The sequence below is a fragment of the Homo sapiens genome, chromosome 1 (assembly GCF_000001405.40).
Source record: "Homo sapiens chromosome 1, GRCh38.p14 Primary Assembly".
Classification (NCBI taxonomy): Eukaryota; Metazoa; Chordata; class Mammalia; order Primates; family Hominidae; genus Homo; species Homo sapiens.
The window spans coordinates 145,423,024-145,444,280 of NC_000001.11; the positions used below are offsets into that span (position 1 = coordinate 145,423,024).

The window sequence follows — 21,257 nt, forward strand, 5'->3', positions numbered from 1 at the left end:
GCTATAAGGTTAACACAGAAAAATGTGTTCATACTCCTAGGTTAGGCATTGATTTCTTAAACAGGACACAAAAAGCAGTAACCATAAAGGAAAAGATTGATAAAGTATAATTTCATTAAAATTAAGAATCTCAGGCTGGGTGCAGTGGCTCATGCCTGTAATCCCAACACTTTGGGAGGCCGAGGCAGATGTCTCACCTGAGCCTAGGAATTCCAGACCAGCCTATGCAATGTGGCAAAACCCCATCTCTACTAAAAATACAGAAAAGAGCTGAGTGTGGTGGTGCTCACCTGTAGGTCCCAGCTACCTGGGGGCTGAGGCAGGAGGATCACCTGAGCCTTGGGAGGTCAAGGTTGCGGTCAGCTGTGATTGTGCCACTGCACTCCAGCCTGGGCAACAGAGTGAGATCTTGTCTCAAAAAGAAAAAAAAAAGTTAGAGAATCTCCATTCATGAATAAGCACCATTAAAAGAGCGAAAAGGCAAGCTACAGATTGAAAAAAGGGAAATGCAATACATATATATCGTAGAAAGGACACATATCCGGAAAAAAGTATTACAAATCAACAGAAAAACAAACATATCAATGAAAACTGGATAAAAAGATTTAACAGGCACTTCACAAAAGAGGACACACAAATGACAATAAAAGATACTCAATCTCAATACCAGGAAAATGCAAAATGAAATCACACTGATACATTACTGCACCCCTACTAGAATGGCAAAATAATTTTTAACTGACAGGCATCAGCAAGGATGTGGGGTAACCAGAATATCCCTGCTAAATGGTACAATCACTTTGGGAAAACATTCAACAATATGTAATACTAAGTTTTATCATTCATATACCTCTAAAACCAACAATGCCACTCCTACAAATATACCCCAGTCTAGTAATGCTCTATTTCTTGATCTGTGGTGGTTCACTTGGTAAAAATTCATTACCTGTACTTTTTTTTTTTTTTTTTGGAGACAGGGTCTCACTCTGCCACCCAGGCGGGAGTGCACTGCCATGATCACGGCTCACTGCAATCTCAACCTCCTGGGCTCTGGTGATCCTCCCACCTCAGCCTACCAGGTAGCTGGGACTACAGGCACACACCACCACACACAGCTAACTTTTGTAATTTTAGTAGAGATAGGGTTTTGGCACGTTGCCCAGGCTGGTCTGGAAATCCTGGGCTCAAGTGATCCGCCCACCTTGGCGTCCCAAAGTGCTGGGATTACAGGTGTGATCTACCGCGCCCGGACCACCTGCACATTTAAAATTGTGAACCTCTCTGTATACTTCAGTAACTTTTCAAAGATTTCTTTGACACAAAGTTCTCAGAAATCTTAAAGCTAGCATTTCACAATAGAAAAAAAGAGCTTCTGGTTCACTGGTGAAATTTTACTAATAAAATTTAAAAACAAAAAGCTACTAACACATATCAGCTCAGAACAAAAACTAAACACTACCAGCAGATCTTTTCTTTAACTTCGTGAAGCACTGGGATTCATTCTTTCGGCAAAGAAAGGATGAACAACACTGTAACCCAAAGAAAAGGTATCACTGCAAGAAAAGACTTCTTTTCGAAAGCAGCTCTAGCAGCAAAAGATAGGAGGAAAGCAAGGAAACCATGCCAAACGTCTTGGTTAACTCTTCGGAGAAAGGACGCCAAATGAGAAGATCTAACAAGCCAGAAAGACAGACAGACACAGGGAAATCACAGCACCTCTTTGGAGTGCAAACACCAACCCCACAATCCAACCTACCGGAAATCCTGCGGTGAATTTGAGGCTTGTCCCGCTAGTCATGAGGTGATTCAGTGATGGCTACAAATGCTCCTCATGTGCATCATGGACTTGGTACACCCGGCTTGCCCATCACCAGCCTGGAGAAACCGCCAGGAGCAGAATCCCGGAGGCCAATAAAGACCCCAACTTTGCAACCCAGGGGCGCGAGTGGTCTCGCCTCTCAGGTCCCCAGAGGCAACCGATGTCTGGCCTCGAGGGTGGGGTGCGGGGTCAGGGTCCTCCACAGGATACACGAGGACGTGCCCCCGAAGCTGCTCGTCCCTCCACCCCCTGGGATGCCACAGAACACCCGCCAGCGAGTTTCTTCCCCAGCGCCCAAGAGATGAGGGCTGCGGGCGGCAGCGGCAAGTGAGGAATCCAACGCATGGAACTTAAGCCCCGGCGGGGCCGGAACACACGCCCCCCCCAACCCCCCACCCCGCCTCGCCCTCCGTCGCTCGCAACAAAGCTTGCGACAGCCGCAGCTCGACCCAGCTGTGTACCCGCGGGTCCCGGACTCACCGCCCGCCCGGCCTGGCGCGGCGCCTTCACCTCGGAAACGCTGGGTGGACTTCGCTGTAAACCGTAACTTCCCATCCAGACGGCAGCCGCGCCGCCGCGCCTCGGCCCGCTCCTGGCGCCACAGGTCGCCCGTCCCGCGTTCCCAAAAGCACCGCGTTCACTCAGAAGCTCACGCAGCCTCGCGACCCTCACCTACCCCTCCCAATATCGCCGCTGTCTCAACCGCCGCCCAGCCCATAGCCTGCGGCCAGCTGGATCCTCAGGGTCTCGCCGGGCGCGTCAAGAGAGCCCAAGGCGCAGGCGCAGGCGCAGGCGCAGCGGGGCCTTAAAGGTACCTGGCCGCCTCTGCCGCACAGCGGGTTCGCGCGGGCCAAGAAAAGGATTAAGGGAGCGGATGGACGGAGAGCAGCAGAGACCGGGAAATCCCTCTCTCCGCTCCGCCTCTCTTTCAAGGCACCAGCACTTGACCCTGCAAATCGCTGATTTCCAGGGCCACTTGAACCGCCCCTGCCAGGTTAAAGGGGCAGAAGACACACCCCCTCGGGGGCCCGGAGCGACCCCGGGCTTAGGAGTGCAGGCTGGCGCTGCAGCACCGCCCCCGAGTCTGACTTCCAGGCCCCGGCATGCGGTGCAGACGCGCAGACATCGGAAGGCAACCCCCAGCTCCCCTGAGAGGTGACCTTAGGTCACTCGAAAAAACAATAACCAGCATGTCAATGGCACTTGTAGTTATTTTCTAATTTAAATTAATAACAGATTTTGCAGATGGGCTTCCACTGAAGCCTTTGAGAAAAAGAAAAACTTCTTCTTTTTCAACAAGATTAGGAAATACCAAGAAATAGGCAACTAAGGTGGGGGAGTGGGGGTGGGCGACAAGCAGGCACCAGCTATTAAAGCAGCGGCCTAGTATATTCTGTCCTTCCATAGTTTGCGGGCCCAAGCCTAACTTCCTACAATAATAATTGTATAGAAAAGTTTTAAAAAGGGATAAAAAAAAAAAAGAGGGGACGTCTCAAATGAATACACTTAAGCTCCCCCCTCAAGAAACAAGAAATAGGCAAGTAAAAGAAACCTAAAGCAGGCCAGGCACGGTGGCTCACGCTGGTAATACAAGCACTTTGGGAGGCCAAGGTGGGTGGATCACCTGAGGTGAGGAGTTCGAAACGAGCCTGGCCAACAAGGCAAAACCCCGTCTCTACTAAAAATACAAAAAAATTAGCTGGGCGTGGTAGCACCCGCCTGTAATCCCAGCTATTCTGGAGGCTGAGGAAGGAGAATCGCTTGAACCCGGGAGGTGGAGGTTGCAGTGAGCTGAGATCGCACCACTGCACTCCGGCCTGCGCCATGGGAATGAGACTGAATCTACAAAAAAAAAAAAAAAAAAAAAAAAAAAACCTAAAGCAAATGGAAGGAAATAATAAAGATAACAGCAGAAATCAATGGCATTGAAAACAAAAAACAACAAAAGGGGAAACTAGTGAAAATAAAGCTGTCTCTTTGAAAAGATCAATAATATTTGACATATATTTGACAACCCAGATGAATTGGACAAATTCATCTTAAGTATCAACTACCACAACTTACCTAAAGCAAAATAGGTCATCTGAGTAGCTCTGTAACTATAAAATAATTGGATTCCTAATTTTAAAATTTCCAGAAAGGAAAGCTCCAGGTCCAGATGGTTTCACTGGAGAATTCTACCAAACGGTTGAAGAAAAATTAACATCAATTCCTTTTTTTTTTTTTTTTGAGGCAGAGTCTTGCTCTGTCTCCCAGGCTGGAGTGCAGTGGTGCAACCTTGGCTCACTGCAAGCTCCGCCCTCTGGGTTCATGCCATTCCCCTGCCTCAGCCTCCGGAGTAGCTGGGACTACAGGTGCCCGCCACCACGCCCGGCCGATTTTTTGTATTTTTAGTAGAGACGGGTTTTCACCGTGTTAGCCAGGATGGTCTCGATCCCCTGACTTTGTGATCCGCCTGCCTCGGCCTCCCAAAGTGCTGGGATTACAGGCGTGAGCCACCGCGCCCAGCCGAATTAACGTCAATTCTATACAATCTCTTCCAGAAAATAGAAGATGAAGGAACACCTCTCAACTATTTCTGTAAATCTATGATTACCCCAACTCCAAAACCAGACCACAAAAACGTTTATCAGTCAATGAAGAAAAATCATTTGACAAATTCAACATCTATTCGTGATAGAAATAAAGAAAGGAGGCCAGGCTCTTTGGCTCATGCCTGTAATCCCAGAACTTTGGGAGGCCGAGGTGGGCAGATCACCTGAGGTCAACAGTTCGAGACCAGCCTAGCCAACATGGCGAAACCCCGTCTCTACTAAAAATACAAAAATTAGCTGGGCATGGTGGCAGGCGCCTGTTATCCCAGCTACTAGGAGGCTGAAGCAGAGAATTGCTTGGACCCGGGAGGCGGAATTTGCAGTGAACCGAAATCACGCCACTGCACTCCAACCTGGGTGACAGAGCGAGGCTCCGTCTCAAAAAAACAAAACAAACAAAAAAAGAAATAAGACAAAATAGAAAGAAGGGAAGAAACGGAATGTTTTACAAGTATCAGAAACATAGGAATACAGGACTTTGTCAGCTTGATAAAGACCACTTACAAAAAAATTCACAGTTAACATCCTACTCACGGTGAAAGACTACATGCTTTCCCTCTAGGACTGGGAACTAAGCAGGGAAGACCACGCTCACCACTGATATTTCACATGACTATCCTACCCAAATCAATAAGGCAAGACAAGGAAATCAAAGGCATACACTGGGAAGGTGGAATAGATGAACTTTGCCCTATTCTTCCTGCTCATTACATCTAAAAACCTTGGGCATTGTATATAAAACAAACATAGGAAGACTGAAGGGCAAAGGGAAGATAGGAGGCCATCTGGCTTCCTCAAGACCCACAGAAAGCCAGGAGATGGGTTCCCAGGATTCCTCCATGCCCCCACTAGATCCTAGATGTAGAGCCAAAGGAGATGGCAACCCAGAAATACCAACGGCTACAGATCCAACAAACCCCAATACGATCCTGCTCTCTCTAGGCAAAGGATCAGCAAAGAGGCAGTCTAGCAAGACAAGACACTTATATACGATCATCAGTTTCCTCAGGTCAAGCACCGTGGAAGAAAAGCTGTGGCTGCATCAACATAAAAGCTAGCAAAATCCCAGTGAGGGGCTTCGGGTTTCACACTTGCACAGGTATAATGACATATGCTAAACCCCCACCTTGCCCAGGGGTTCTTTAGGTTCCAGCATTTTATTTATCATGAGACACACAATGACTAAAATGCTGGAAACTAAACACAGAGAAAATACCTCAAAAGCAACAGAGAAAGATGACATCTTACCTAGAGGGGAAAAACAATGTCAATGACAGATGTTAGAGGAGGAAGCTGGGGCTGTCATCATCATCCCTGCCAGGTGATAATATGTTTACCTCCCTGTCAATAGAAACTACATTTGGAGCCTAGACTTCATTAGATGGTCATGAGGCACCTCTCCCTCTGTCTGCTAGGCTGGTATCAGAGGAGTCCTAGTGCAGAGTCAGGACTTTCATCAACACCCAGCAGTAACAAGGCTGCTCTTGTCCTGTGGTGTCACTGGAGGCCACATGGAAAGCAGTGGAGGTAGCTTTCCTACCCACCCAGCCAGGGAGGTAGCAGTGGAGGAGCAGTGGGCTGCTGGAACTCCCTCTCCTACCTTAGCAGCTCCTCCACTCAGGGTGTCAACAGAGGTCAGTCAGATGAGAAACCTGGATTTCTACACACATCTGGCTACAATGAGATGGCACCACTCCTCTTCCCCTGCAGAAACAGACTCAAAAAAAAGGTAGTCAAAACAGAAGGTTTCAATAAAATTGAAACTCTGATAGCATAACACCCAAAAGTCCAAGTTTCAATTGAAAATCCTTCATCATACCAAGAACTAGGAAAATCTCATACTGAATGAAAATAGACAGCAATTACACACTGGCAATGAGATGAGAGAGGTGTTGGGATTGTCTGACAAAGAGTTTAAAGCAGGCAAGCCTGATGAAAATGATTTAGTGGTACTTATAAGCACACTTGAAACAAATGGACAAGTAGAAAGACTCAGCAAATAAATACAAGACATAAATGAGAACCAAATGGAAGTATTAGAAGTGAAAAATACAACAACTAAAATAAAAAGTCCAGCAGATAGGCTCAGCAGCAGAATGGATGGTGCGAAGCAAACAAATCCATATACTGCAGATGAGAAAAACAGAAATTACAGAATCCTAACAGGGAAAAAATAGACTGGGGGAGAAAGTGAACAGAACCTCAGGGACCTGTGAAACTACCTCAAAAGTTCTCACTTTCATGTTGCTATCAGTGTCTGGAAGGGGAAGAGGAAGAAGACAAGGCTGAAAACATACTCAAAGAAGTAAACGGCTGAAAGCTACCCAGATTTGGCAAAAGACATAAACCTACAGGCTCAATAAGCTGTTAGAACCCCAAATAGGAAAAAACCCAAAGAGGTCTATGGCAAGACATGAAAAAATAAAATGTTGGAAAAGAAAGACAAGGAAAATATCTGGAAAACAACACAGAAAGGTGACACCTTACCTAGAAAGGAAAAACAATTCTGGTGATGATGGATTTCTCATCAGAAACCATGGAGGCAGAAAGAAGTTGTGCAGTGCTTTTCAAGCCGTGAAAGAAAATAATTGTCAGCCCAGACTCCTCTGTCCAACAGAAACATCTTTCAGGAATTAAGGGGAAGATCAAAACAGTTTCAGATTAAGAAAAGCTAAGGGAATCTCTGACCAGCAGTTCTGCCTTAAAAGAAAAGCAAAAGGGAGTTCTCCAGACAGAAAGGAAATGATTAAAGAAGGAAACTTGGGACGTCAGAAAGAAAATTTTTAAAAAACAGTGAGCAAAATAGGCCTTCTTTCTCCTCTTGTGTTTTCTAAACTATGCCTGACGGTTTCAGAAAAAAATCATAGCACCATCCGATGTGGTTCTAACTCTACATACAGAAAATGTTGGAAACAATTATAAACTGGAAGGGTAAAGAGACCTACATAGGAGGTTGCTTGTCTATTGTTCACTCAACTGGTGAAACAATGACACCAGTATACTGTGTGGTCAGATATAGATGCACAGACATATGAATATATATATATACCTGGAAAAACCAAGAGGGCTATACAAACACATATACTAAAAAATACTATGGATAAGGCAAAACACCATTCTCAAAGATGCTTAAGTCACCACAGCAGGTAAGAAAAATAAAGCATATCCAGAAAATGAAACCAGAGAGAACAAACAGAAAAGGAAAAATAAAATGGCAGACTTAAGCCCTACCATATCAATCATCACATTAAATATCAATGGGCTAAGTACACCAATTACAAGACAGAGATTGGCAGAGTAGGTTAATGGACATGACCCAACTACATCCTGGCTACAAAGAGACTACCTTCAAATATGATGATACAGGCAAGTTGAAATCAAAAGGATGGAAAAAGATATATCATGCAAACATTAGCTAAAGGAAAGTAAGACTGGCTATATTAATGCCAGATATAGTATATTTCAGAACAAAGAAACTAATCAGAGAGAGAGAGGGACGTTATAAAATGATGAAAGGACCAATCCACCAACCCCTCCCCTGACGAGGCCGGTTGAGATGTGTGAAGCAGCTCTGGCTACAGCGGGTAGGGAGAGGGCGCGCGGGACCCAGGAGCCTCCGTGCGGAGCCAGGCCTCAGGAGCAGCCGCCTTGTTCCTGGAAGGGGTGCCTCCCTCCATCTTGTCTCCAAAGACTGTAGGGAGACCTTCTCGCCCGGTAGGAAAGCGACGTCTCCCATGCTTTCCCACCACGCAGGCCTTGTGGCCTTTCTCCTGCTAGTGTCTGCCCTCCAACCTGCGGGGGCTGCGGCTGCCACGGTTCCACGCTGGGTGGACGCTGCCTGCCCGGGATCCAAGAGCCGCCGTTGCAGGCGGGAGTTGGGGAGTCGTGTGCAGGTCCGAAGGAGACCCAAGCTCTTGGTCAAGGCTTTTTTGCTATAGCCAAATTCAGCGTGTAAGAGACAGAGAGCTCACATCTGTCTGTTCGTAAGCTTCGGTGAGAACACCAAGGAAGCGCACTCAAGATTCGTAGGAGGGCGGGAAGGGTCCCTGGCGGCGATATCCGCGTCGGCGGTGAGCCAAGGCATGTCAGGAGAGTGAGTGCGCGAACCCAGCCGCCGGATAGCGCAAACACCACCGCGGACGAGGGCCCCGCATGTGGAGAAATCGCAGGGGTCAGCGGAGCCGAAGTGTGGTGGACTAGCCTCCTCCGGGGAGAACCCCCTTCCTGACCACTGTATGTCCCCCGCCACATAAGGGGAGAGGAGGGACAGCACAGCCTACTCTCCCCTGGCGGACGATCAGGGTCACCACCTTCTCCTCTGCTCTCCCCTCGCCATTCTTCCAAACCACCCTCCGCCAAAGATTCCACGGACAGTCACCCTCCCAACAACCCAGGCCTCCTTTCAGCAGCGGCTCCCGCCCCACAGCCACCACGCCCTCTCACCCCCGCGGTTCTGCCCGCCGCCTCTGCCGAGTCTGTGCACTTCACCTCCCTGGGTCCCGCTCCCCCCTGAGCTTACAGTGGACGAGGGGCAGGACGGGGGAAAGGCCGTTCGGCTGCCCTTCTAGCTTCAGAATCACCCAGTGAACGGGTTTCAACCGTAGCCGGCAAGATGCGCCTCTCCGGTTTTCCGAGGCTTTGGAACCTGCACAATTGTTCTGCAAAAGACGGTGGCTCCGCCTAGCATTGGATGGGCGCTTGCTCTGCATGGTGATGCCGGAGCGAGGGTCGACTGTCCGTCTGTCGCAGTCGGGTGGTGTGCTTGCTTCCAAGTCTGGAGTTGGCTGGTTCAAGCTCGTTCTACTGAGCGTTTCTTGCATTTTAAAAATGCTTAAACCGCTGGCAACTTTCTTCTACCCAGCACATTCTCTCATGGAATGGCAGAGCAAGACCAACTTTACCCGCCTCTCCTCCGTGTCTCCCATACGACATGAGGACGTAAATCAAGGTCCGCTAGGATTCTAGGATCTCTCTCTCTCTCTCTCTCTCTCTCTCTCTCTCTCTCTCTCTCTCTCTCTCTCTCTCTCTCTCTCGACGGAGTCTCTCTCTGTCACCAGGCTGGAGTGCAGTGGCGCGATCTCGGCTCATTCCAACCTCCGACTCCCTGGTTCAAGCGATTCTCCTGCCTCAGCCTCCCGAGTAGCTGGGATTATAGGCACGCGCCACCACGCCCAGCTAATTTTTGTATTTATAGTAGAGACGGGGGTTTCATCATGTTGGCCAGGATGGTATCAATCTCCTGACCTCGTGATGCGCCCGCCTTTGCCTCCTAAAGTGTTGGGATTACAGGCTTGAGCCACCGCGCCCGGCCTTCTATTTTGTTTGTTTGTTTGTTTGTTTGTTTACTGTCATTCATTTAGCCCTTTCCATACGCTTTTGAAGTTAAATTGGTTCTGTGATTTTATGATTACATATAATGTTCTAGTCATTCTTGTACGGGCATTTTCGGCGTTTTCAGCCACTGGTGTATTTCTATAGGATAGAGGTGCAATTACTATAGGAAGAGCAATTACTCCATCATAGTGTTCACACGGTTTTTATATCATTCCATTCTCTCTCCTCTGTTGGCTTATTAGCTATAACTCTTTCTTTTGTTATTTTAGTAATTCCCTTAGGGCTTATAGCAAACCTTTTTAACTGATCACAGTCAACCTTCAAGTGATATTAAACCTCGCCTTCTGGCCTTGAAGTTATTGCTGACATGTACTTTGCTTTTACGCATGTTATAAACCCACAACCCATTGTTATTGCTTTTGTTTAAATGGTCAAACTTTTACAAAAGAAATTTACAAAATAAGAAAATACCTAGTATAGTTACCTATTTCTGGTGTTCTTCATTTCCTCATGTAGATCTGGATTTTCATCTGGTATTGGATTCCTTCTGCCCGGAAGACTCCTTTGACGTTTCTGTAGTGTGGGTCAGCTGGTAGTGAATTCGGTCAGCTTATGTAAGTCTCTAAATGTCCTTACTTCACTTCCAGTTTTGGGAATTTATTTTTTCTGGCAGAGTATTCTAGGTTAACTTCCTCTGCCCTCAGTACCTTAAAGATGTTGCTTCTCTGTCTGCTCCCATTGCATTGCTGCTCCCAGTGGGGGCCGGCGAGAGCAGAAAGAAAGTTGATGGCAATTCTCATCTTTGTTCCTGTGTAGGTACAATGTCTTTTTCTTCTGGCTGGATTTCAGCAATGTTATTATGAGGTATCTAGCAGTGGTTTTCTTCATGTTTCTTGTGCTTTGGTTTCCTCAGCTCCTTGGGTCACTGGATTTATAATTTTCATTATGGTTGGGAACTTTTCAGCTATTGTTTCTTCAAAAATTGGCTGGGAAAAGTGGCTCACACCTTCAGGAGTCAGGAGGTGTTGAGTGAGGCCGGGAATTGGAGACCAGCCTGAGCAACATGCTGAAACCCCACTCGTAATAAAAATAACAAAGAAAGAAAATAAATGCTTCCTTTCCTCCCCGCTCCTTTTCAGGGACTCACATTACTCATAAATTAGGCCTCTTAAATCTGCCCTACAGTTCACTGATAATCTTTTCATTTAAAAAAAAATCTTTTGTCTGTGAGTTTCATTTTGCATATTTTCAATTATTCATGGTTCCATATTCCCTGATCATTTCTTCTGCAACGTCTAATCTGCTGTTAATCCCATCCAGCGAATTTATCATCTCTGATATTTTGGTTTTGTCTTGCTTGCTTGCTTGCTTTCTATCTTTTTTTTCTTTTTCTTTTTTTAGATGGAGTCTCACTCTGTCGCCCAGGCTGGAGTGCAGTGGTGCGATATTGGCTCACTGCACCCTCCGCCTCCTGGGTTCAAGCGATTCTCCTGCTTCAGCCTCCAGAGTAGCTGGGACTACAGGTGCGTGCCAGGACACCCAGCTAATTTTTTGTATTTTTAGTAGAGACAGGGGTTTCACCATATTAGCCAGGATGGTCTCAATCTCCTGACCTCGTGATCTGCCCCCCTCAGCCTCCCGAAGTGCTGGGATTACAGGCGTGAGCCATCGCGCCCGGCCTATACACAAACTTTTGTATTAGAATAGAAAAGTTGAGAAGATAGTTCACAGAATGGAGTAAAGAGGATGAAATGGGTTTTTGGAAACCATTCACATTTTAAAGTTGTTTTAGGCCAGGCGCGGTGGTTCATGCCTGTAATCCCAGCACTTTGGGAGGCCGAGGTGGGTGGATCACGAGGTCAGGAGATCGAGACCATCCTGGCTAACATGGTGAAACCCCGTCTCTACGAAAAATACAAACAAAAAATTAGCCAGGCGTGGTGGCGGGCACCTGTAGTCCCAGCTACTCAGGAGGCTGAGGCAGGAGAATGGCGTGAACCTGGGAAGTGGAGCTGGCAGTGAGCCAAGATCGGGCCACTGCACTCTAGCCTGGGTGACAGAGCGAGACTCCGTCTCAAAATAAATAAATAAATAAAATAAAATAAAATAAAGTTAACACCCCTCACCCCCAAAGAACAATGTGTGTTCTCCCCAGACATCCCTTTATTAAAATATGCAGAGAAAGTGTAGGATAAAAGAGCATATGCTAAACTCCTCAGAATGTGTGTCTGGAAGTGGACAGGGGAATGGGAGTGGGATGAACAGAGAAAAGAAGGAAAGACAGTAAGGGCCTTGCTGAGAGCAGCCACCATAATGTGCCCTGAGCTAAGGTACATGATTACCTTCTTCCTGTGCACCTGAGATCTAAGAGAATATATTAACAAATCAGGGATATGGAATTTCAAAAACACTACGGGAAAACAACAAATTTACCCAAACAGAACAGTCTACTTAAGAAAGGCAGGAAGAGGCCGGGCGCGGTGGGTCATGCCTGTAATCCCAGCACTCTGGGAGGCCGAGGCGGGCGGATCACGAGGTCAGGAGATCGAGACCATCCTGGCTAACATGGTGAAACCCCATCTCTACTAAAAATACAAAAAAAATAGCCAGGCGTGGTGGCGGGTGCCTTTAGTCCCAGCTACTCCTGAGATTGAGGCAGGAGAATGGCATGAACCTGGGAGGCAGAGCTTGCAGTGAGCCGTGATCATGCCACTGCACTCCAGCCTGGGCAACAGAGCGAGACTCCGTCTCAAAAAAAAAAAAAAAAGAAAGAAAAGAAAAAAAAGGCAGGAAGAGATTTTATAAACAAAGCGAAAACACAGAAATCATACAATGAGGTGGTGGGAATGAGACTAACTATGCCCATCATCTCCAACATAACACTAATTACTGCTAATTATAATGGATCTAAGTCTCTCATATTGGATAGAAAAGGAAATGCGGACTCTAATGGTTCAATGGCAGAAAAGGGTTAAATATTCAAAGCAGTGCACATTATTATTATTATTATTATTATTATTATTATTATTTGAGACAGAGTTTCACTCTTGCTGCCCAGGCTGGAGTGCAATGGTGTGATCTCAGCTCACCACAACCTCCGCCTCCCAGGTTCAAGCAATTCTCCTGCCTCAGCCTCCCTAGTAGCTGGGATTACAGGCATGTGCGACCATACCCAGCTAATTTTGTATTTTTAGTAGAAAAGGGGTTTCTCCATGTTGGTCAGGCTGGTCTCGAACTCCTGACCTCAGGTGATCCGCCCACCTCGGCCTCCCAAAGTGCTGGGATTACAGGCATGAGCCACTGCACCCAGCCTATTATTATTATTATTATTATTATTATCATTATTTTGAGACAGAGTCTCGCTCTGTCACCAGGCTAGGGTGCAGTGGCCAGATCTCGGCTCACTGCAACCTCTACCTCCCAGGTTCAAGGGATTCTTCTGCCTCAGCCTCCCGAGTAGCTGGGACTATAGGCACGTGCCACCATGCCCAGCTAATTTTTGTATTTTTAGTAGAGATGGGGTTTCACCATATTGGCCAGGCTGGTCTCGAACTCCTGACCTCGTGATCCACCCACCTCGACCTCCCAAAGTGCTGAGATTACAGATGTGAACCACCACACCGGGTCAAAAGCAGTGCACATTATCTTTAGCAAGCTAACACAGAAACAGAAAACCAAACACCGTGTGTTCTCACTTATAACTGGGAGCTGAATGCGAGAACACATGGATAAATGGGGTTAGGGGGCAAGGACAACAGACACTGGAGCCTGTTGGAGGGTGGGGGTTGGGAGGAGGGAGAGCATCAGGAAGAGTAGCTAATGGATGCTGGGCTTAGTACCTGGGTGATGGGATGATCTGTGCATCAAACCACCATGACACAGGTTTACCTATGAGACAAACCTGCACATCCTGCACATGTACCCCTGAACTTAAAATAAAAGTTGGAAATAAAAAATGTAAAAAGGAAAGAAAATAAACAACAACAACAAAAAGGACGGTGCAAATCTATACCACGCTCATTAGAAACAAAAGAATGAGGGTGAAAACATGAATATCCGACAAAAGTAAACAGCAAAAGAACGCTTTATGTTAACTAGAGGAGTAATATCCTAGCATCTACCTAGAATCAAATGGAACTGTTTTTCCCTGAACTGGCCTCCTTGGGTGGCCGACCAGGGCCAGGTGAAGAGAAGAATTCTGGGAGTGAAACGTCCATTTATTCCCTCTTGTTTTGGTCTCTGTAAGGCATAAGAAGTTAAAAGCAAGATCTGATCCCTGGCGTTTTCCAGGAACTCAAAAGAGGTGTAGGAGGAGAGAAGCTCAATTATCACCCTGGTCTCCTGGAGTATCCCAGGCACAGTCCCAGGAGTTCAGCTTTTCATACTCGAGTTCCTGGGTCCTGAAGGCCTTTTTGGGGAAAGTACTGATGTTCGTGTCAAGGTTGGGAAGAAAGGGTTTGGGAGGAACCAAGCAACAGGGAGGCAAAGAGAAGACATCAACAAGCGAGGCAAGAACTTTCCACAGGCTCACACTGGATACAGGACCAGAGACAAGAAGCTGGGTGAGTTTCTGATATTTTCCTACAGAGGTTTGTTATGCAGTTGCTTCAGAGCCTACTCAGAATAAGGCTTTTTCAAGTCAGCTCTTTTAATGTGAAGCCATAACTTTGTGGTATTGCCTGATGGCAATTCTCCACTGCGAGCCATTGCTCTAGGTGTCTTTTTTGTTTGTCACATCTTGCAAAGAGAACACGGTGAAAATCTTGACTCCTGTTCCCAAGTCTGTGTCTTAACTCTTTCCAAGGCTGCACAGCTCGGGGTCAGGAGGCGTTGGCAGTTCAGTGGTACAATTCTCGCCTCCCACCCGGGAGACCTGGATTCCATTTCCGGCAAATGCAGCGTCCTGTCTTTGTGCCCTGTGGTTTTTACATTTACTTACTGTGCCGCGCTAATAAAGAAAAAAAAGGAGGGGAAGGGGGGAACTACTGTATAGTCCTTGGGTTCTTTCCGTAGCGGAATTTATTTTTCTTTTATTTATTTTTGTTTGTTCGTTTGAGACAGAGTCTCTGTCTGTCCCCCAGATTGGAGTGCAGTTGCACGATCCTGGCTCACTGCAACCTCCACCTTCCAGGCTCAAGAGATTCTCATGCCTCAGCCTCCCAAGTAGCTGCGATTACAGGCACGTGTCACCATTTCCTGCTAATTTTTGTATTTTCAGTAGAGACGGGGTTTCACCATGTTGGCTAGGCTGATCTTGAACTACTGACCTCACATGATCCACCAGCTTCGGCCTCCCAAAGTGGTGGGATTACAGGCGTGAGCCCGGGCCCCGGAGAGGAATTTATCTAAGCCGAGACTTTGCAGAGACTGTCTTTGAAGCAGCCAGTGGGTCTGCTTGGTCTCTGCGTTTCTACGTATTTGGCCCTAAAACCGGCGCGACTTTATCGTCTCTGCTGTCGGATCCCTGCAATACAAAGAGGTACCTGGTCACTGATTCTCTACTTGGACCTTGGATAGACCATTAGACCACATCTCGCGATGGAGTGCGGCTCAAGAAATGACATTCCCGGCCGGGCGCGGTGGCTCACGCCTGTAATCCCAGCACTTTGGGAGGCTGAGGCGGGCGGAGCACGAGGTCAGGAGATCGAGACCATCCTGGCTAACATGGTGAAAACCCGTCTCTACTAAAAATACAAAAAATTAGCCGGGGGTGGTGGCGGGCGCCTGTAATCCCAGCTACTCAGGAGGCCGAGGAGGGAGAATGGCGTGAACCCGGGAGGCGGAGCTTGCAGTGAGCCGAGATCACGCCACTGCACTCCAGCCTGGGTGACAGAGCGAGACTCCCCGAAAGGAGAGAAGCTGTGGGGTGGGGCGGACACAAGCAGTGGTGGGGAACTGGGGCCCAGGGAAAGGGGAGGCATGTGAGGAGGAACCCGAGTGCAGATGAGGGGAGCTGCGGAGAGGGGCCTCTGACCTTCCTGTCGAGGAAGGCCCAGTCTTTGGTGGTCTCGGCAAAATGAAGAATGGGCCCCAAGTGGAGAGCAGCACGTCCCCAAAACTCATTTCTATCAGCCCTGTTTGTTTTACACTCCACCAGGCAAATCTTCCGTCCACAGGATTCTTTTTAATACTTCTCTTTAAGCAGTGTGGTGGGGAGGCCATGGCAATCATTAGCTCTGGAGGCCTGAGGAGGACACTCTGAAGAGGAAAGCCCCGCGATCATCCGGTTTCACCCCTGTTTTCATCTACTCTTTTCCTCAGCGAAGCCTATATGGGTTCCCGATGTCACATCGCAGCTACCGCATTGGAGGGTTAAGAGCCGCTGACAAATCTCTTTCGGGAAGGGGTAAGAAGCGCAGCTGGCCCAGAGCCATGGAGAGAGACGCAAGAGCAGAACCGAAAATACTTTTCTCCATCTTGTTTTCTCTCTGCTGTCGGTGAACATTAACCTTCCACACACACCGGGTCAATACTGCCTTGGTCTCTACAGGAGGTTTACCATTTTTTTTTTTTTTTTTTTTTTTTTTTGAGAGGGAGTCTCGCTCTGTCGCCCAGGCTGGAGTGCAGTGGCGGGATCTCGGCTCACTGCAAGCTCCGCCTCCCGGGTTCACGCCATTCTCCTGCCTCAGCCTCCCAAGTAGCTGGGACTACAGGCGCCTGCCACTACGCCCGGCTAATTTTTTGTATTTTTAGTAGAGACGGGGTTTCACCGTTTTAGCCGGGATGGTCTCGATCTCCTGACCTCGTGATCCGCCCGCCTCGGCCTCCCAAAGTGCTGGGATTACAGGCGTGAGCCACCGCGCCCGGCCGGTTTACCATTTTTTACAGTTCCCGTAAGCCATGTTTTCTTCTCGCTTCTACAGTTCTTCCAGGATTGAGTTTCAGGAGCTGGTCAGCAGTCCAGGCTAGTTCAACATCCTGGTTCAAAATCGTTTGTCTGGTTTTGCTACTAGGGTGAAGCTTGCCTCCTAGACCAGAGTTAAGACGTGTTCCCTCGGCTTCTGTTTTCTAGAGAGAATTGATATAGTTTCTTCCTTAAGTGTTTGGTTGTGAAACCATCTAGACCTGGCGCTTTGTTCTGGAAGGTTATTAATTGTTGCTTCAATTTCGTCAATAGATAGAGACCTATTTAGTGTATCTATTTCTCCTTGTAGAGTTTTGGTCAACTTTATCTTTCAAGTAGTTGATCCAATTCATCGAAGTTATCAAATTTGTGAGCAGAGAATTGTGCATAATAGTCCTCTACTATGCTTTTAATGTCCACGAGATCAGAAGTGAGGGTCATTGTTTTCTTTCTCATATTAGTAATTTGTATCTTCTCATTGTTTCTTGGTTCACCAGCTAAAGGTTTATCAATTTTATCGGTCCTTTCAAAGAACACTCTTCAGGTTTTTTTGACTTTTTTCTATTGATTTCTGGTTTTCAATTTCCTTGATTTCTGCTCTAGTGTTTATTGTTTCTTGTCTTCCACTCACTTTGGACTTAATTTGCTCTTGTTTTCTTTGAGTTTCCTAAAGTGTAAGTTTGGATTATTGATTTTAGATCTTTATTTGTAATATTTAATTTTTAAAATCCATGATTATTTTACTTTCTGTGCAATAATTTTTTTAGTGTACTATAATTTTTGTTCTTGTTAAAATCTCAGTTTTTTGTTGTGTACCAAGGGTACAAGTGTAGCATTGTTACATGGGTATATTGGGTCCAGATAGTTTGCATAGTACCCAATAGCTAGTTTTTCAACCCACTCTCCCTCCCTCCCTACCTACCTCATGGTAGTCCACAGTGTCTATAGTTCTCAAGTTTATGTCCATGTGAGCTCAATATTTAGGTCCCATTCCTAAGTGAGAACATTCAGTATTTCATTTTCTGTTTCCGCATTAGTTTCTTCCAGATTATGGCCTCCTGTTCTATCCATGTTATTGCAAAAGACATGATTTCATTCTTTTTTATGGGTGTGCAGTATTCCATGTTGTGTATGTACCACATTTTCTTTATTTAATCCACCATTGATGGGCACCTAGTTTGACTCCATGTCTTTGCTATTGTGAATAGCCTGGTGGTGATCATAGGAGCGCATGTGTCTTTTTGTTTTAATGATTTACATTCCTTTGGGTATATACCCAGTAATGAGATTACTGGTTGAAAAACAGCTCTGTTGTAGGTTCTTTGAGAAATCTCCAAATTGCTTTCCACAGAGACTGAACTAATTTACATTCACTCCAAGTGTTTATATGCTTTCTCTCCACAGCCTTATCAGCATCTGTTGGTTTTTGACTTTTTAATAATGGCCATTCTGAGTGGTGTGAGATGGTATCTCATTGTAGCTTTGACTTGCATTTCTCTGATTATTAGTGATGATGAGCATTTATTCCTGTGTTTGCTGGCTGCTTGTATGTCTTCTTTTAAGAAGTGCCTGTTCATGTCACCTTGCCCACTTTGTAATGGGATTATTTTTTTTCTTGCTGATTTTTTAAAGTTCCTAATAGGTTTTGGACATTAGACCTTTGTCAGATTCACAGTTTGTGAACATTTTCTCCCATTCTGTAGGTGGTCTGTTGACCCTGTTGATGGTTTCTTTTACTGTGCAGAAGCTCTCTCATTGAATTAGGTCCTACTTGTGAATTTTTGTTTTTGCTACAATTGCTTTTGTGGACTTGGCCATAAATTCTTTGCCACGGCTGATGTTGAGAATGATATTTCCTAGGTTTTCTTCTACACTTTTTCTGCTTTGAGGTCCCAGTATATATTGTGTCATTGCAAATGACAACCAACCACAGACTAATCATTACAAGCCAAGAAAGGGAACTTATTGGTGACCAGGAAAAATGTCCAACAAATGAAAATTAGTAAAAGACATTCCTGGGTGTCTTTTTCTGTAAAGTGTGGGGCATTGTTGTCTATAGAGTTCAGCAAACTTTTTCTGTAAAGGGCCAGGGAGATAGGAAATATTCTAGGCTTGTGAGCCAAGAGGCAAAATTAAGGATATTATGTAGGTGCACATATAACCAGGAAGAAGGCAAATTTCTATACCATTTTCATTGATGAGATTCTAAACTAACAATAGTAACTGAGTAGAACTTCTCAGGTGGTAAATGTTCTTTGCATTGAGAGCCTAGGCTCAACTTTCCTAGGCTCCCTGGTACAGCCCTCCCTTTCCACCCCTCAGGCTGTTTCCCTCCCTGTTTTCCTCAGAAGAAGAGTTCCAAACAAAAGATCTACTACCCTGAGAAGCGGTGAAGTGCTCCTGGGGCCCACCAAGGCCACACAAGTCAAGGAGTGGATGGCCTTGCCCCAGCTATGGCTCAGATCACCTTTGCAGGATGACATCTTGTTGGGAGATGGTCATCAGAGACAGGGCCATGGAAGACGCTGTCAGGAGGAGGTGAGAGGACTGGTGCCCAGGGGGAGAAGTGGCCAAGCACCTCTGCATTCAGCCTCACAAAAATCTCAAGGGGATGTAGAAATGGGGACAGGGTGAATGGAAAACTCTAGCAAGGTTTTGGGGCCCTGAGCTGATCTCTGTTTTTCTTCCTACAACCTGCAGCACATGCTATTTTCTCACCTCTGTGGATGGAAACACCACCCTTCCATATGCTCAGTCTAAAAATCTTTGAGTTTTCTTTGACTGCTGATCTTTCCTTCACATCCTATAGCTGTTTAGTCAAGAATTCACATTATGCTGGGCAATCAGGTGTTGTCCTTAATCGACACCATCCTTTTCACCCCGCCCCCCCCAGTTAATAAAACTTGTAAAGTCATTCTCCTGATAATAGGATTTCCATGAAATTGCACAATTTTAATCCTTCCTGGATGCATGACTCACGTAAGAGCACTGCTTTTGTTTACTACCATTTTCCCCTATTTTTATTTCATACCTGTTTGACCCGCACTCTTTCCCATAAGCCAGGCACTTCGGCTCAGGTGTGCTTTCCTAATTGTAGAATGAGCAATAATAGCAGCCTTGCTAACTTCTTCCTGGCCCCACCACCAGGCAAATGTCATAGGATTTAATAGGTAAAGAATCATAGGATTGCCAGGCGCAGTGGCTCACACCTGTAATCCCAGCACTTTGGGAGGCCGAGGCAGGAGTATCGTTTGAACCCGGGAGGCAGAGGTTGCAGTGAGCCTAGATCATGCCACTGCACTCCAGCCTGGGCAACAAGAACTAAACTCTGTCTCAAAAAAAAAAAAAAAAAAAAAAAAGGAATCTTAGGCTCGTCCCTATTGCTTGGTGTTATAAAATGAATTGTTTTCCCCTGAATTTATATGTTGAAAGCTTAACCCCCAACTTGACTGTATTTAGATATAGAGTCTTTAAGGAGGTAATTAAGGTTAATTAGACCATACAAGTGGGGCCCTAATCTGGTCAGAATGGTGTCCATATAAGAAGAGGAAGGGCATCAAAGAATCTCTCTCTTTCTCCACACAGGCACAGAGGAAAGGCTATGGGAGCACAAAGCAAGAAAGTGGCCTTCTGCAAGCCAGGAAGAGAGGCCTCCCCAGAAACCAACTCTACCAGCACATCGATCTTGGACTTTTGGCCTCTAGAACATTGAGAAAATAAAAGTCTGCTGTTAAACCACCCAACCTTTGGTATCTTTCTATGGCAGCCTGAGCTGACTAACACCCTTGGTAGGTGGGCAGCATTCACCTTATTGGGCTACATGATGAGAAGTTAAAGTAACTTTAGCAATAGGCACCATTTGATTTCATTGTATAGATATTGTGTCTTTTGCACTGATTTTGCCTTTTTTAGTTGTGTGTATATTGATGCCTGGGCCTAGCATTACAAGACTAGTCGAAATGGGAAGAAAGAAAAGAAAGTGGGAAAGATACCAAGTTCCATAATTGCATCCTCTACCCACATCCAGTTCTTAGAATCTTTTCCAATGGAGACTGCACCTTGTGTACACTCAAATTCAATCTGAGCGCACAATCATTTAGACAACCAAGGCAACTTTTCCAATTTTCAGCATCACACGCTTGGGAAAACAAGTATTTCAATCACTAATTTAAATATTCATTGAGGTAATTATTCTGAGGTTGATGAAAAATATGGTGTATCCATGTACTGTTGCCTTCTCCTGGGTCAAGAATGTTGTCTTTACTCTGCTGGCTCACATTTGACCAGAAATTGGAGTCCCAGCAAATCTTACTAGCCACTCAGGAAGCCTATTTTAAGATAGTCCCAATCTCAAACTTGTTCTAAGACTTGTATGCTGACTGAGGAGAAAGAGCCTCATGACAAAAATTCAACTAGAGCTGTGGGTGACAGTTGTGTGTCTCACTACTGGTCTGGGCCCAGGTTTCCCGTGAGCACCTAATGAATAGACTCATTTGCAGGGATCGTCAAGATGCTCACTATGTCTACCTCATAGCCTCAAAAGAAGTGATCAGCTAACAGAATTTGTGTAGTATCCTGAAGGGAAATTAATCCAGATATAGAGGAAAAGATAAGGATTTTTTAAAACAGACATGTGATTCAACAGTTGTTTAAGATGCAGAAAGCT

At 46.0% G+C, this 21,257-nt stretch overlaps 1 protein-coding gene, 1 long non-coding RNA gene and 1 pseudogene across 7 annotated transcripts in view, besides 1 other annotated feature; 1 reads left to right on the forward strand and 2 right to left on the reverse strand.

The window, feature by feature from the left end:
- The window catches only part of NBPF20 (NBPF member 20), a 135,704-nt gene extending 133,124 nt beyond the window's left edge, over positions 1-2,580 (reverse strand). For 2 of the 3 annotated variants that reach the window (NR_189122.1, NM_001397211.1), the window contains exons 1-3: positions 2,300-2,580; positions 1,757-1,875; positions 291-408 (exon numbers count right to left, since the gene is read on the reverse strand). The gene's annotated coding sequence lies outside the window, so the exon portion shown is untranslated. Of the gene's footprint in view, positions 1-290; positions 414-1,756; positions 1,876-2,299 lie in introns of all 3 variants that reach the window. The other variant, NR_189123.1, reaches the window with a different exon arrangement.
- Positions 2,932-3,031: an enhancer, noted in NCBI's record as "active region_1608". NCBI's record gives its function as "activates an Ori minimal core promoter by ATAC-STARR-seq in GM12878 lymphoblastoid cells {active_cell/tissue: GM12878}" and the evidence as "EXISTENCE:reporter gene assay evidence [ECO:0000049][PMID:35858748]".
- On the forward strand, positions 6,311-20,331 carry LOC105371288 (uncharacterized). Of its 4 annotated transcripts, none has more exons than XR_001737728.2 (6): positions 6,311-9,361; positions 10,264-10,361; positions 13,994-14,309; positions 16,009-16,093; positions 18,940-19,129; positions 20,177-20,331. It is a non-coding gene; the product is annotated as an uncharacterized LOC105371288 (long non-coding RNA). The 4 variants fall into 4 exon arrangements; XR_007066562.1 differs by having other exon boundaries at positions 14,038-14,309; positions 15,890-16,093; positions 18,914-19,129; XR_922089.3 differs by having other exon boundaries at positions 14,038-14,309; positions 15,890-16,093.
- RNU1-154P (RNA, U1 small nuclear 154, pseudogene) lies at positions 8,504-8,670 on the reverse strand (annotated as a pseudogene).
- Positions 20,332-21,257: the final 926 nt, after the last annotated feature.